Source organism: Homo sapiens, chromosome 5, assembly GCF_000001405.40.
Source record: "Homo sapiens chromosome 5, GRCh38.p14 Primary Assembly".
NCBI lineage: Eukaryota > Metazoa > Chordata > Mammalia > Primates > Hominidae > Homo > Homo sapiens.
Window position 1 is genome coordinate 152862665 of NC_000005.10, and position 18051 is coordinate 152880715.

At 36.0% G+C, this 18051-nt stretch overlaps 1 long non-coding RNA gene across 1 annotated transcript in view, besides 1 other annotated feature; it reads right to left on the reverse strand.

Annotated features, from left to right (window-relative positions):
- The window catches only part of LINC01470 (long intergenic non-protein coding RNA 1470), a 353385-nt gene that overhangs the window by 243700 nt on the left and 91634 nt on the right, over window positions 1–18051 (reverse strand). The window lies entirely within an intron of this gene.
- Window positions 5543–5712: an enhancer, noted in NCBI's record as "experimental_83374 CRE fragment used in MPRA reporter constructs". NCBI's record gives its function as "activates a minimal promoter by MPRAs in K562 erythroleukemia cells, with activity observed for the introgressed 5:152247852 variant allele {active_cell/tissue: K562}" and the evidence as "EXISTENCE:reporter gene assay evidence [ECO:0000049][PMID:34662402]".

An 18051-nucleotide genomic window follows, 5' to 3' on the forward strand; every position in this document is an offset into this window, starting at 1 on the left:
ATATTTTAAAAATGAAAATACCCACTGTCTAGCTCGGAGGGATGTCACGAAAAATGACTGAAAGGTAACACACAGTACTTCAGAAGGCTGGGTGTGGTGGCTCATGCCTGTAATCCCAGCACTTTGGGAGGCTGAGGCAGGTGGATCACATGAGGCCATGGGTTCAAGACCAGCCTGGCCAGCATGGTGAAGCCCCTTCTTTACTAAAAATATGAAAAAAAAAATAGCTGGACATGGTAGCGTGCCTGTAGTCCTAGCTACTCAGGAGGCTGAGGCACGAGAATTACTTGAACCTGAGAGGCAGGAGGTTGCAATGAGCCGAGATCGTGCCACTGCACTCCAGCCTGGGTGACAGACAAAGATACTCCCTCCCCCCCCAAAAAAAAAAAATCTTCAGAAAACACAATTACCATGAAAATTTTAGAAAATATTAGGCATAGGTTTCCCTCACAAAAATTTATGTCATTTAAATTTAACCCAGCAACTGTTTATTAAACAGGGCTATAATCTCATTGGAACCAAGAACAAATGAATGTAAGAGAATAGTCACAGCCTTCATATTCCATGGGATCTTACTACGCACCTTAATCAATGCATTCCAAGGTGCTCTCACTCTTAGGATTCCACACAGAAGCACCTTGGGGAATATAAGTAGAGGTGAAGGACAATTTTTATTAATAATTTATCAGGCCCATGGACACTTATCATGCCTCGATTAGAACTATATCCCTTTTGTTATATATGTTTTATCAAATATTTTGTTGGGAATAGTGATCTACTGCTAAAGATTTACTAAAAATAAAAAATCTACTCTTATTACTTCTACAGGACTCAAGAATTAGAGTGAAAACTTACTGTTTTTGCTGCTGACCTCTCATGCTTTCCTATGGCACCAGAGCTCTGATTTTGAAGAACATCCTTTACATACCGTCTGCTGAGATGTCAGTAAAAATGCCTTATCCAGACCTGAGGATCCAGCCATACTGAGGAAGATGTGACCCAAATTTCACATCTGAGTCAATCCTGAGACTTTGACATGAACACTTGACAGAGAGGGCTTCTTACTTTCACTAAACTCAAGACTGCTCATATAGCATGTAAATCTGATTCTTCCAGAACCCATCTTGCCAGTAAGAGGGACCAGAGTTTTCCTGGGAAAATGGGGCAGACAAATGAAAATAAATGGAGCTACTACAGAAGACAGCAGAGTCAATAAGTGGAAAGACTCTAGATGCTAAGGATGTCACTTGAACCCCTGGATTCAGCTGTGACTTTTCAGCCACCTGAAATAATTTCCCTTGTTGGTTTAAATACACTGAAAAGAGAGAGAGAGAGAGAGAGAGAGAGAGAGAGAGAGAGAGAGAGAGAGAGTATACTATTATATATAATATATATGCACTATTATATATTTATTTACTTACAGCTGAAAGATGCCCAAATCAAGTGACTCTCAATGCTGCCATACCCCCATTTATCCCCAGTGATGAGGAACTTACTGTCACATGTAAGTTCCATCCTTGGACTGACTTTTAAAAAGCTATATATAATTATTTAAAATTTCTTTACTTTATACCCATTGTTCCTGTTGCCTCACTTGGAGTCAGATGGAGTATGCCTGTTTCTTCACAAAGGCCTATAGATATTGGAATATTACACTAGTCCCTCTTCCTTAATTTGCCCATCTCCTGTCCAAAGTTTCTTATATACTGAGACTTCCAATCTAAACCTTAAGATTATCTTATCTACAAAATGTTTTTAATAAGTATGCATCAAAATGACTATTTTTGTTATCTTGCATAATTGTCAGAATTAAAATTGAATTATCTTTAGGTGCCTGCCCACACATTAAACTTTTTTCTTTTCCCCCCTTTTATAAGAAAACTCCAAAACAGATTATAAAATGAGGAATGATTAATACATTCCATTTATACGAAATAGTGCAAGCCCACATATCCCAGAGAAACACGGAAACAGCTGCCAAACCTACTCACTTCATTTTTCATGAAATGAGAACAGCTGTTGAGTGTCTCATAAATATCTAGGGCAAGACATGAAGAAATTACAAAGGAAACCCTTTCCAAGTAGGAAGTATATGTTCCCAAATCCTTGAAAATTCATCTCAGAGCATGGTAAAGCCAAGTAAGCTCGTTAAAGTTAATGTATGAGTTCCACAGAAGACAAGAGACTTTTCCAGAGTCCCAAAGAGATAGCCATAGATCTCAGATCTTTCTTCTTTGATGCCAATTTTACACACAGCATATAATGAATTACCAAATAAATGGTTCAGATATCAAGTGCATTGGATTTAGAGAAGGGAGATAACCATAAGAAGTGGAGATGCTAGGCAATTTTTTAGCTTGGTCAATGGCTGAGATTTAGTCAGGAGCTTTACCTCCATTCTGTCTAAATTCCTAAACAGTAAGATGAGATTCCATGAACTAAGGGAAATGCTATTAGAGTCTCTAGTTACTCAAGTATTCATTCAGACAAATATTTACTGTTTTTAAGTACCATGGACAAGGCACTGTGTTAAATACATTGTATGTATTGTCAAGGCAGAAGGTGTGGAGGTGGGGTGGGAAAGAGATGATGCCTTCTCTGAAGAAGTTTACAAATTCTGAGGAAGTTCCCAAGACATATATTTTTCAATGTTCAGTAACAATAAATGCAGTGCTATGTTTTAACTCATCCTCTTAAGTCATGGGGAATTCCTTTTATCCCTAGAAAACAGATGACACTGACCTTAAATGTTTGGTAAATACATTTCTAGGTAAAAAGTTGAGACCTTAGGTTATGACCTTAAATGTCTTATCTTATTCTTCCTTTATTTTTTCAACTACCCATCCTTCAAAATTTATTCCAATTCTCTGCTTATCTACAGAGCTTTCTTTGATGTTCCCTCCACTGACATTAACCTTTTAATGAGCCCTTTAGCATATTACTGGTATTTTTCTTGATGCTTAAGCATATGATTTTTAATACAGTTACTTAACTGCTTTCTATGTTAGGGGTTATTTCCTCAGCTACATTGAGCATCTGGGCGATAAATGCCTTACAATTCCTTAGTTTCTAGAACAACATAAGTATTCCATGTATTGCAAGGAAATAAATTAATAAATGCCATACCCCTTTGATTCTTCATTGCCAATTAAGTCTACTCCACAGAACTTGTCCTCCTGGCCATCTAAGCCCAGTCATGTCTGAGTCATAAGAAAATATACCTTAAGGACAGATACTGATTTTTATTTTAATTTTACTGTATTTCCCTAGTTGAGGCAACCTCCATTGTTAACGTACTTCATCCAGTACTAGCCCTGTGAGACATCTGTGAAGGAATGAAATTCAGTGATAAGATATAATTACAGATAATCAAATTAGTCAAAATGATATAAGATTATCTATCATTGAAGCACAATATGATCCAGAGAAGTATAAACTAATAGAAGAGCAGCCACTGAAAACTACAGCCAAATCATCACTTATCTTGCCTGAAAATGTAAGAAATTTCAATTATCTGGTGTGTGTGGGGAACATGAGAGATTTTCATTATTCTCAGTGAATGTATGGAGTCCATGCTTTGAAGAATATTAGTAAGCTTGGTCAACTGCAGAAGTGATGGGCTAAGTATTTGAAAGAAAGGAAGAGAACTAAGCTTTAATGACCTTTAACAGAAACTTAGTAGGCTACTAATACGTAGGATTTAGACATATATATGCCAATTATGTGTATGTATTAATATTGTTTATGCTACTGCATGACTTTCAACCATTAAAAAAAAAAGAACTTACATGTTTACTTAGTTATCACTAGGAATACCCTCTTAGCAGTTTAGAAGCCTACCTGTAGTATTTCCCCTTGGGCAGGGTCAATTTTTAAAGATGACATCACCCAAGAATAATGGCCATGAATTGCCCTCAGAGGAATCACCTTAAAGGAGAACTTTATTTTTGTTCTACTTGGTCTGATCAATTAGCATATATTACTTGAAACAGAGTAGGAGAAAGAACAATGCAATAAGGTCCACTGAAATCCAGTTCAAAGCTGAAGCATATCCAGAGGAATGTTAATCTGATTACTAAATGCCAACACATTGTTTTAATGAGTGGCTGGATTTTATGTAAGTGGCAGGTCTTTGCAGCCTCTCACCTGCTAAAGAAAATCATCCCTGCCTATAAGACAATACACCTTTCAATTTCTTTAAGAAAAGAAATTCAAGACAATATAGTTTACCAGAAAGCTTGTAGTAAACCCAATCCTCACCAGCCTTCTTTCCAATCACAAATGTCCTATGTTCCTTTCTGTCTCTTAGCCTTTTCAGATGTTGGTCACTCAGCTAAAATGACATTCTTCTCACAATGGATGCTAACATAGATTATGATTCAAACCATAACAATTTTGAGAGTGAGAGAGGATAGTAATAATAAATTGGATATACTATATTTGCAACCCTATTGCAATACTATTTTTAAAAATATGTCTTAAAGTAGAAAAGCAACATATGTCCACCAAATACACTAAAACAATTTTTTTTTAACTTTGTATTGATTGTTTAAACACTGAAAACAAAATAGGATGCCTAAGCTTTAATCAGTTCCTTAGCTATATTTTTCTTTAAAAATGTCTTGTAGGTATCTTTATTGAAGAATGTATTTTTTAAATAATATAATGTAGGGTAAGGAGATTCTCCTTTTTGGAAGGTGAGTTTAAGGCTATTGAAATCGATTTACAATAGACCAATTTACAGGAAGAAAGGTTTATAAATTAACAGGTACATGGGCATGGTAGTCCCATAAATATAAAATGCAAAGGAGGGAACAGATGACTGAAGTTTTTATAACATCCTGGGGTTACAGAAAGAACACCTGGGGTTTCTGGTGGGGGTGGTTTCACAGGCTATGGAAGATAGATGGGAGGAAAGTGGTGCTATAGTTTAGATGTTCATCACCTCCAAATCTCATGTTGAAATTTGATCCCTATCACTGGGGATGGTGCCTAATGGGAGGTATTTGGGTCATGGGGGTGGGATCCCTCATTAATAGATGAATGGCCTCCCTGGGGAGATGGGTAAGCAAGTTCTCATTTTATTAATTCCCCCAAGAGTTTGTGGTTAAAAAGAGCCTGCCCCTACCCCAACCTTGCTATATCCTCTCTCACCATGTGATATCTCTGTACATGCTGGGCTGTCCTTTGCTCTCCACCATGAGCAGAAGCAGCCTGAGGCCCTATCAGAAGCAGATGCTAGCGCCATGCTTTTTGTACAGCTTGAAGAACTGTGAGCTAAATAAACCTCTTTTCTTTATAAAGTACTCAGCTTCGGGTACTTCTCTATAACAACACAAACAACTAAGACCTATGGCAAGCAAAGGTTGCCTTGTTATACAGATAAAAATCTCTCAGGTCATCTTGGGGCTGCCCTCAGAAGGAATACATGGCAGCCAGTGGTAAAGTTTCTTTGTCAGAGCTTTGATGTGTCAAACTTCTAGTTTTCTTTTCCAGTAAATTAATCTTTCTGATTAATCTGATAAGGCAAATAAGGGAGTGGGCTTCAGAGAGAGCCTGTTTGAATCTGCTGTTTATTTCACTAATGTAGATTTTCTCTACATATGCAAATCTCCTCAACAAAAAGGCAGCTTTTCAGGGCTATTCCTGTGGCTTGCCCTCCCTCCAAATGACCATCTTGAAATAGGCCAAAAAAAGCATATTTGGGGGTGAAATATTCTGGTTTTCTTCAATGATTTTATTGTTTTCACTAAATTACCTGTAAGTGAGCATCATCAAAATTGCATTTTATGTTTAATAAGTTTGGAGTGTTTGACAACTTCAGTTTACTTTCTGCTGTAAAGCATTTTTTTAAATTAAGAAAACTCTCTTTCTAGATGTGGCATAAGCTTGTTAGCTGTCCATTTTGAAAATAGTCTCTCGTACTAAAATATTTTAACATTCTTTTTCAGCTTCAGTTTGGAGTTTCCTTCTCCCATAAATATATTTATAGCAAAATATTATATTTTATGCTTGATTTATTTTCATATATTAATAAAGCAAAATCATATATCTTCTGAATTTCATTTCATACAACTAGAGAATAAAAGTTTGTCTAATTAAAAATAGGAGCTTTGGCCAGGGGCGGTGGCTCACACCTGTAATTCCAGCACTTTGGGGCACCAAGGTGAGTGGATCACCTGAGGTCAGAGGTTTGAGACCAGGATGGCCAACATGGTGAAACCCCATCTCTACTAAAAAACTACAAAATTAGCTGGGGCATGATGGTGCATGCCTGTAATCCCAGCTACTTGGGAGGCTGAGGCAGAAGAATCGCTTGAACCCCAGAGGCACAGGTGAGTCGAGGTTGTGCCACTGCACTCCAGCCTGGGCGATAAGAGTGAGACCCCATCTCAAAAAAAGAAAAAAAAAAAAGGAGCTTTATCAAAAGATTTTCCCCAAGAGTCAAGATCAAATTACAATTATAGAATTTCAAATTTAAATCTGGAATAACATTTGAGTGCTGATCATTTAATTTGTGTGGATTCTTCCTTGCTTGATAGAGAAATTTTTGATTGTCTTTCAATTTGTAGGCTTTGTTTCAATACTTGCAATTTACTAAGAACTTTATAAAAGGTGATGCATTTGGTGTTCAATTATTTTAATATTTGAATAAAGATTTCATATAGATTTGAAAAAAAAATACAAATTTAGTGAATTTACATCAAAAAAGCTATGGCACTGTAAAATACATGAACTAACTTTAGTAAAAGCTCAAATATTTCTGAAATTTAGCTGAATTTCAGCCGCAAAAAGAAAAAAGAACTGTCACATTAAATAATTTTTGAAAAATACATTCTACATCACCTTTGTCAAACAAATGTTGTGGTTTAATTAATCTAATTATGCACATATAAAAATGCTTGTAAATTTTGACAACTGAAGAATCTATTTTGATTGGTGGAAAACTGAAAATGATTTGAAGGCAATTATAAATATGGGTGTCTCACAAATAAATACCAAGTACACTTTAGTGCCACAGATGTAATTTAGTAAGAATAATAAATTTAAGAAGAATATAATGCTATGTCCATTGAAAACATACAGTCTCATCATCATCACAAAACTTTTTTTGGTGATAAATTTTTAAATTGAATTTAAATTAACAATCACAATAACGTCACATTTTATGTCTGACAGATAAAGTGAAAAGTTTTACTTTTGTTTCATGGATTGGATAATAAACTAAGTCATGGTTAAAATGAATTGATTTTATGTATATTGGAAGCATATGTGGATAATGACATAAGGCAGAAATCATTAGCTGCTTGCAAAGTTCTGCCAGTGAGTGCAATGATATTAGCTATTGTTTCATTCTCTGTATATTCACAGAAAAGCTCAGAAATGAGAATAAGCAAAATTAAATTAAAGAAAAAACATTCACTGGATTTTTGATTAACTAATTGTTAGGAATGTTAATACTTTGGCCATGGCTCAGACCTACTGAAGCAGAAACTCAAGAGTTGCATCTCAGTGACCTGTGTTTCACCAAGACTGCCAGGACATTGTGATGCACATACAAGTCTAAGAACCAGTTACTTTAATGAAAAGTAATGTTCTACAGAGTGGTTTTTTTTTTTTTTCTTAAGATGGAGTCTCGTTCTGTTGCCCAGGCCGCAGTGCAGTGGCATGATCTTGGCTCATTGCAACCTCCGCCTCCCGGGTTCAAGCAATTCTCCTGCCTCAGACTCCTGAGTACCTGGGATTACAGACACCTACCACCACACCTGGCTAATTTTTGTATTTTTAGTAGAGACAGAGTTTCACCATGTTGGCCAGGCTGGTCTCGAACTCCTGACCTCAGGTGATCTGCCCGCCTCAACCTCCTATAGTGCTGGAATTACAGGTGTGAGCCACCATGCCTGGTCCCACAAAGTGTTCTGTAAATCCACCTTCTACAGCTGCAACTGTTGAATCAGTGTTGTGGGCACAGCCTTTATAAAATAACTACTGACTGTTAAGTACAGAAATAGAACTACACACACGAATATTTTCAATTAAGTTTTTTTTTTTTTTTAACAAAAGTGTCAAAAGAATTCAATAGGGAAAGGAAAGGATTTTCAATAAATGGTGTCATGAAAATTTGATGGCCATATGCAGAGCAAAACAATAAAACTTCAACCCACACCACACAACATCACAATAAAACTTCAACCCACACCACACAACAAAAACGAACTCAAAATTTACCAGAGACCTTAAAGTAACTGCTAAAACTATAAAGCTTTTAGAAAGAAAATAAAAAGAAAGAAAAGGAGAAAATCTTTGTGACTTTGTTTTGAAAAATTTCATGTTTTGAAAAAAATCATGTTTTGAAAAATTTCGTGAATTTGAAATACCTAATGTAGATGACAGGTTGATGGGTGCAGCAAACCGCTATGGCATATGTATACCTATGTAACAAACCTACACCTTCTGCACATGTATCCCAGAACTTAAAGTATAATAAAAAAAGAAAGAAAATTACACAGGCACTTTCAAAAGGTACTGTTAATAAAATTAGAATCTACAGAATGGAAGAAAATATTTGTAAATCTGACACAAAAGACTCATATCTAAAATATACTTTTAAAAACACTTAGAAATTTAAAAAATGGTCAAAATGTGAACAGATACTTGACCAAAGATACAGAAATAAGCACATAAAAATATGTCTGACATCATTTGTCATTAGAAAAAATGCAAATTAAAGCCACAATGAGATACCAATACATACTTCCTAGAATGAATAAATTTTTAAAAAATTGATGATACCAAGAGTTGGCAATAATAGAGAGGAATGGAAAGTTTCATCATACATTGTGGGTTGGATTGCAAAATGATACAACAACTTTTGAAAGCAGTTTGGCATTTTCTTAAACATGTACTACCATACAATACAATTACTCCAATCCTGCATATCTGTCCAAGAGAAATTAAAAAAAGTTTATATAAAGATTTGTACACAAATATTCATAACAGTGTTTTTTGTTATAGCACAAACTGGAAACAACTTATATGCTCACCTAAAAAGAAAGGATAAATATACTGTAGAATATCAAAACAATAGATTACTTCTCAGCACTAAAAAGGAAAAAACTACTGATATTTGCAATAACATCAATGAATTCTCAAATAATTATACTAAATGAAAAATGTCAGACACCCTTCCCCAAAGAGTATATACCCTGTGATTTTATCCATATAAATTTTTTAAAAATTCAAACAAATATATGGTGACAAAAGCAGATTAATTGTTGTCCTTGACAGGGTGACAGTGAGTGGTAGGTGCGAAAGAGCCAGGTTGAAACTATGCCCAAGAAAACTTCTGAGATAATGAATATATTCATTATCTTTATTGTGGTAATACTTTCACAGGTGTGCCCATGTTAGAACTTATTACACATTTTAAATATGTATAGCTTATTGCACCTCAATTATAACCCACTAAAGCTGGGGAAAAAAAAGAGAAAAATCCAGTTAAATAATATACCAGATGGTATAAATCAAGACTGTACCAAGCAAATGAGGATGTATTGTTAATCCACCTTTATGGGCATACAGACCTACTTGCACTGTTAATTCTAATATTCTTTCAGTTCTTAGATTAATACTCATCCCCGCTCCCCCCAAATGATTCCTAATTATTGTTGATTAAATTATGTTACTTTACATTTGCTTGTAGCAATATATACCTCTTTCCTTTTAGGGCTTTGCACATTGTAATGTCTATATCGGTCCACCAGGTTGTAAAAAATTTGAATTCTGGAATCTTTTCCACCCCTCCCTATTTACATATTCTCAATGTCTGGCACCTATCCCTAATTAATATTTGTTTAAAGAATGAATTTAGCAATGAAATTAAGGATTTACTTAAGAGGGAGGAAGATATTCTATTCCTCTATTTTACTTATGGAATCCATGAAATAATAATACAGTCTTATATTTAAAGCATTTATATGTGAAGAAACACTCTTTTGTTTACTATTCTATTTGTTCCTTATAAGAATATTGTAAAAAATGCAAAACAAATAAAATGAACCTGGAACTCAAAAAGTCAAATGGATAATCAAGCAGTGGAAACCAGTCCTGAACCCACAGACTTGTCATCAAGGCTAATCTCTGTTGCACTAAAGCAGAGCTATTGCTTTAAAGGGCTTTGTTATCTTATTCTTGAATATTACATGTACTTTCTGACATACTGACTCTCTACCATGGATGCATACTGGAATTACATGAACAGTGTTTTGTTCATTTGTTTGTTCAATACTGATGCCTTTCTCACATCCTCAGAGATTTAGATTTAATAGGTCTGGGACACTGGCTGGGCATGAGGAATTTTTAGAGGTCTCTAGGTGATTTTAATGTGAAACAAATTTTGAGAGCCACTGGTTTATTTGTCTCAGTCTGGAGAGTTGCACTGTCTCCAATCCATCCTCACTCTGAAGCACACACCATAGATTTCAAACACAAATATGAATATGTCACTTGTCCACTTGAAAACCTTCTATATTGCCATACAACATTCAAGGTGCCCCAATGCCCAAACTTGAGATCTGAGAAAGGATCTGCCCCACAAAAGAATCAGACATAATTGAATTCCATGGCTAATGCAGTAAAAATAAGATGAGCCTAGAATATCTAGTGCCAGAAAGTAAGAAATTGCTAAAAGAAAGTGAGAAATGTCAAAAGGTAATAGGAGATCATTTGGAGGGACTCCACTGGCCAATTGGAGCCTCAAAATAAATGACAATAATAAATTATATAACCTATTACCTAAAATAAGAATCCTATTACCTAAATTATAACCTATTACCTAAAATAAGAATCCATGATTCCATACTGATAATACATGAACTTACAGATAAATATGAGAGGAAGTTAATCCCTTCTTTACAATCAATGGCAATTAATAAACTGAGAAGAAAAGATTGGCATTTTCAACCATCATGCTAATAATTGATTTAGACAAAACTCAGAGATGCTAAAATTATTGGGTGAAAGTTTTATAAAGAGAACTGAACTAGATTAACATAGACTCAAACTATCTCCCCCAAAACTACTTATTAGTTAAAAAGCTAAAAAGTAACTTTACTGTGGATAGACCTGGCTGACACCACCTCAACCAAGTGATCAGAGTTAAGATCCTCAATACAAAGTTACCTTTCCTGTGCCATGATGCCACCACCATCACTACAAATGCCCACATGGAGGCTAGCACCTGTGTGCCCTCCAGCACACCACCTCAGCTGATGAGTGTGCACCTTGCTGCCCTGCCACTGCTGCTGGCAGGTGCAAAGCAGTGCAGATCTTGCTATCACTGCCTGAAGAAGCACTTTGGCTGATAACTCCCCAATAGGAGTGTTGTGGCCAGTGGACTAGGAACACCTCGGCCCCTCCAGCATAGCAGTCTCATAACCTCAAGGGGCCAGAGAACAAAGTGGGGGGCCTGATTAATAGCTCCCCCAGAATTAGAGCACACAGCCCAGGAGCCCTGAGCTGAGCTTTTGCCCACTAAAATCTTCTGGAAACAAGGCCAGTTAAATGAATCCACTTTATACCATAATCAAATCCCCAAGAACATTAAAGAGGATAAAAGAAAATCCCATCTAAAGGACAGCAACTTAAAAGATTGAAGGTACATCAGTCCACAAAGATGAGAAAGAACTAGCACAAGAACTCTGGCAACTCAAAAGACCAGAGTTTCTTCTTCACTTCAAATGACCATACTAGATCCCTAGCAATGATTTTCAACCAGGCTGAAATGACGAATAGAATTCAGAATCTGGGTAGGAACAAATATCATTGAGATTCAGGAGAAAGTTGAAACACAGTCCAAGGATTCTAAGCAATACAATAAAATGACACAGGAGATGAAAAGACAAAATGGCCATTTTAAGAAAGAGACAAACTGATCTGACAGAGCTGAAATACTCACTTTAAGAATCTCACAATATAATTATAAGCATTGACAGCAGAATTGACCAAGCTGAGGAAAAAATCTCAGTGCTTGAATCTGGCTCTCCAAGATAACTCAGTCAAAAATAAAGAAAAATAATAAAGAATGAACAAAACCTCTGAGAAATATGGAATTATGAAAACAGACCAAATCTACAACTCATTGGCAACTCTGAAATAGAAAAAGAAAGCAAGCACGTTGGGAAACATATTTCAGGATATCGCCCATGAAAATGTCCTTAAAACCTTGCTAGAAAGGCTAACAATCAAATTCAAAAAATGCAGAGAACCCCTGTGAAATACTGCACAAGAAGACCATCCCCAAGGCACACAGTCATCAGATTCTCTAAGGTTGAAATGAAAGAAAAAAATGTTAAAGGTAGCTACAGAGAAGAGGCGGGTAATCTGCAAAGGGAACTACAGCAGGCTAACAGCAGACCTTTTAGCAGAAAACCTACAAGCCAGAAGAGACTGAGGGCCTATATTTAACATTCTTAAAGAATTTCCAACCAAGAATTCAATATCCTGCCAATCCTTTTCAGGCAGGCAAATTCTAAGGAAATTCATTACCACCAGACCTGCCTTACAAGAAATCTGTAAGGGAGTGCTAAATATGGAAAGGAAAGAATGTTACTGGCTGCTACAAAAACACTTAAATACACAGACCAGTGACACAATCACACAAACAAATCTACATAATAACCAGCCAACAACATGACAACAGGATAAAATCTGTATATATCAATACTAACCTTGAATGTAGATGGACTAAATGCCCTAATTAAGAGGCACAGAGTGGCAAGTTGGATAAAGAAGCAAGAACCAATGGTATTCTGTTTTCAAGAGACCCATCTCATGTGCAATGACTTCCATAGGCTCAAAGCAAAATGATAGAGAAAAATCTACCAAGCAAACAGAAAACAGAAAAAAAAAAAGTAGAGGTTGCTGTTTTAACAAAATAGATTTTAAAACAACAAAGATTAAAAAAAGACAAAGAAAGGCATTAAATAATGGGAAAGGGCTCAATTCAACAGCAAGGCCTAATTATTCCAAATATATACACACCCAATACAGGAACACCTAGATTCATAAAGTTAGTTCTCACAGACGTACAAAGAGACCTAGGAAATCACACAATAATAGTGGGAGACTTCAACACTTGATATTAGACAGATATTAAACAGATTATCAATGCAGAAAACCAACAAAGACATTTGGGACCTGATCTCAACACTTGACCTAATGGACTTAACAGACATCTACAGAGCTCTCCACCCCAAAACAACAGAATAGACATTCTTTTCATCTGCACATGGTTCATACTTTAAAACTGATCACACAATTAGGCATAAAACAATTCTCAGCAAATTAAAAAAAATCATACCAACCCCACACACAAACCACAGCACAATAAAAATGGAAATAAATGCTAAGAAAATCACTCAAAATCATAAATTTGCATGGAAATTTAATAATCTGCTCTTGAATGACTTGTGGGTGAATAATTAAATTGAGCCAGAAATCAAGTAATATTTTTAAACTAATGAGAAAATAGTTACAACATACCAGAATCTCTGTGACACAGCTAAAGCAGTGTTAAGAGGGAAGTTTATAGCACTAAATGCCTACATCAAAAGTTAGAAATATCTCAAATTAACAATCTAACATAACAAATAGAAGAACTAGAGAAACAAGAGCTAACCAACCCCAAAGCAGACAGAAGACAAAAAAATAACCAAAATCAGGGATGAACTGGAGGAAACAGACACAAGAAGCCATACAAAAGACTAACAAATCTAGGAATTGGTTCTTTGAAAGAGTTAGATAGATGGCTAGCTAGACTAATAAAGAAAAAAAAAGAGAAAATTCAAAAAAAAGCAATCAAATGAAAAAGAGGGTGGTACCAAACAAAAACAAAAACAAAAACAAAAAAACCCTGAAACTGCTATGAACATCTCTACACATACAAGCTAGAAAACCGAGAAGAAATGGGTAAATTCCTGGAAACATACAACCTCCCAAGATTGAATCAGGAGGAAATTGAATCCCTAATCAGACCAATAATGAGTTCTGAAATTGAAACAGTAACAAAAAGCCTACCAACTGAAAAACCCAGAACCAGATTGGATTCACAGCCAAATTCTACCAGATGCACAAAGAAGAGCTGGTCCCATACCTATGGAAACTTTTCCAAAAAACTGGGGAGGAGGGACTCCTCCCTAACTCATTCTATGAGGCTAGCATCATCTTGACTCAAAAATTGTAGATATAACAACAACAAAAAAGAGAGAAAACCTCAGGCCAATAACCTTGATGAACATGAATGCAAAAATTCTCAACAAAATACTAGCAAACTGAATCCAGCAACACATCAAAAAGCTAGTCTGCTATGATCAAGTAGGCATTATCCCTGGGATGCAAGGTTGGTTCGACATACACAAATCAATAAATGTGATTCATCACATAAATAGAACTAAAAACTAAAACTACATGATCATCTCAATAGATGCAGAAAAGTTTTTGACACGTCCTCATGTCAAAAACCCTCAACAAACTAGGCATTAGAGAATGTACTTAAAAATATTAAGGGCCACCTATAAAAAATCCACAGTCAACATCATATTAAATGGGCAAAAGCTGGAAAGATTCCCTTTGAAAACTGGAAAAAGACAAGGATGCTCTCTCTCACCATTCCTATTCAACATAGTAGTGGAAGTCCTAGCCAGAGCTGTCAGGCAAAAGAAAGAAATAAAAAGCATCCAAATAGAAAGAGAGGAAGTCAAACTGTTCCCCTTTGCAGATGACATGATTCTATGCCTAGTAACCCCATGGTCTCTGCTCAAAGTTTCCTGATCTGATAAACAACTTTAGCAAAGTTACAGGATACAAAATTAAAGTACAAAAGTCAGTATTATTCCTGCAGACCAACAACATCCAAGCTGAGAGTCAAATCAAGAATTCAATCTCATTCACGATACTCACAAAAAGAATATCTAGGAATACAGCTAACCGAAGAGGTGAAAGATCTTTACAACAGTAATTAAAAAACATTGCTCAAAGAAATCAGAGATGACACAAACAAATGGAAAAATGTTCCATGCTGATGAATAAGAAGAATATTAATATTGTTGAAATGGCCATACTGCCCAAAGCAATTTACAACTTCAGTGCTATTCCTATCAAACTACCAATGACACCGTTCACAGAGTTAGAAAAAAACTATATTTTTAAATTTATATGACAGCCGGGTATAGTGGCTCATGCCTGTAATCCCAGCACTTTGGGAGGCCAAAGCAGGTGGATCACCTGAGGTCAGGAGTCTGAGATCAGCCTGGCCATCATGGAGAAATCCTGTCTTTACTAAAAATACAAATATTAGCTAGGTGTGATGGTGCGCGCCTGTAATCCCAGCTACTCAGGAGGCTGAGGCAGGGGAATCATTTGAATCTGGGAGGTGGAGGTTGCAGTGAGTCCAGATCATGCTGGTGCATTCCAGCCTGGGTGACAGACGCTCTGTAAAAAAAAAAAAAAAAAAAAAGAGAGAGAGAGAGAGACAGAGAGAGAAAATTCACATGGAAACATATAAAACAGCCTGAATAGCCAAGTCAATCTTAAGTAAAAGGACGAAGCTGGAAGGATCACATTACCCAACTTCAAACTATACTACAAGGCTATAATAATCAAAACAGCATAACACTGGTACAAAAAAAGGACACATAGGCTAACAGAACAGAGCCCAGAAATAATGCTGCACAGCTATAATTATCTGGTCGCTGACAAAGCCAACAAAAACAAGCAATGAGGAAAGGACTCCCTATTTAATAAATAGTGCTGGGATACTTCACTAGCCCACGTGCAGAAGATTAAAATTGGACACTTTCCTTATCCCATATATGAAAATCAACTCAAGATGGATTAAAGACTCAATGTAAAACCTCAAACTATAAAAACCCTGGGGCCAGGTGCTGTGGCTCACACCTGTAATCCACAGCACTTTGGAAGGCCGAGGTGGGCAGGTCATGAGATCAAGAAATCAAGATCACTGGCCAACATGGTAAAACCTTGTCTGTACTAAAAATACAAAAATTAGCTGGGCATGGTGGTGTGCACCTGTAGTCCCAGCTATTCAGGAGGCTGAGGCAAGAGAATCACTTGAACCTGGGAGGTGGAAGTTGCAGGGAGCTGAGATGGTGCCACTGCACTCCAGCCTGGCAACAGTGAGACTCTGTCTCAAAAAAAAAAAAAAAAAAAAAAAAAACTGTGGAAAGATAACCTAGGAAATGCCATTCTGGACATGGGACCTGGCAAAGATTTCATGATGAAGACACCAATAGCAATTGCAACAAAAACAAAAATTGACAAATGGGATCTAATTAAAGAACTTCTGGACAGCAAAAGAAACTGTCAACAGAGTAAATAGACAACCTACAAAATGGGAGAAAATATTTGCAAACTACATATCTGCAAAGGTCTAATATCCAGCATCTTTAAGGATAGTAAAATAATTTACAAGCCAAAAAAATTAAAAAGTAGAAAGGACATGAACAGATGCTTTTCACAAAAAAACGCATACATGCAGGCAACAAGTATAAGAAAAAATGCTCCACATCACTAATTAGAGAAATGCAAATCCAAACCACAATGAGATACCATCTCACACCAGTCAGAATAGCTATTATTAAAAAGTCAAATAATAACAGTTGCTGGTGAGGTTGTGGAGAAAAGGGAAAGCTTATACACTGCTGATGGCAGTGTTAATTAGTTCAGCCACTGTGGAGAGCAGTTTGCCAATTTCTCAAAGAACTTAAAATAGAATTACCATTTGACCAGCAATCTTATTATTGGATATATATTCAAAGGACTATAAATCATTGTATTATAAACATGCGTGCACCTGTATGTTCACTGCAGCACTATTCACAATAGTAAAGACATGGAATCAACCTAAATGCTCATCAATGATAGACTGGATAAAGAAAATATACATATACACCATGAAATAATATGCAGCCATAAGAGAAATGAGATCATGTCCTTTACAACAACATGGATGGAGCTGGAGTCTGTTATCTTAGGCAAACACATACAGAAAACAAAAAACCAAATACCACATGTTCACATACATAAAAACTAAATATTGAGTAAATATGAACACAAAGAAGGGAACAACAGATGCTCGGGCCTGCTTGAGGGTGGAGGGTAGGAGGGGGGTAAGGATAAAAAAACTACCTATCTGGTACTATGCTTAATTACATGGGTGAATAAATAACCTGTATACCAAACTCCTGCAACACAAAATTTACCTGTATAACAAACCTGCATGTGTACCCCTGAGCCTAAAATAAAAGTGAAAAGAAGTTACCTGAGTCTTTGGATGTAATGCTCTGAGAAGGACACAATATCACTTATGTGATAATTCCTGCCAAAAATGCAAAGTATGAATCCAATCATAAGGAAACATTAGACAAACCCGAAGTGAGAGACATTCTATAAAATAAGTAGCTTGTATTCTCCAAAAATGTCAAGAAATGAAACACAAAGAAGAGGTGAGAAACTGTTCTAAATTAAAGAAAACTAAAGGTACGTGATAATTATATACAATAATTGTGTCTGGATTAAATATTGTACTGAGGGAAGGATGGAAACCCAACATCTATAAAATGACATTATTGGGTCAGTGGCAAAATATGAATACAAAGTATGGATTAAATAAAAACATTGCATCAATGTTAAATTTTCTGATTTCAATCACTGCACCATGGTTACATGTAAGAGAATGTTCTTATTCTCAGGAAATAGTACACTTAAGTGTATGAAGTGTTAAAGGAACAGCATATCAGCAACTTATTTTTGAAGGGTCAGAAAATGGAATTACAGAAAAAGACAGCGAGAGTGAGCAAGAGGGTGAGAGTGAGCAAAAGAGCGAATGCTGGAGAGACTAATGGGGCAAAATGAAAGTAATAGTACTTTGTAGTATTCTGACAATCTTTAAGTTTCCAATTTTATCAAAATAAAACTTATAAAAATCAAATAAAACAAAGCCTGCCTTGAGCTGGCTCTTGCCTCCCTTAGCAT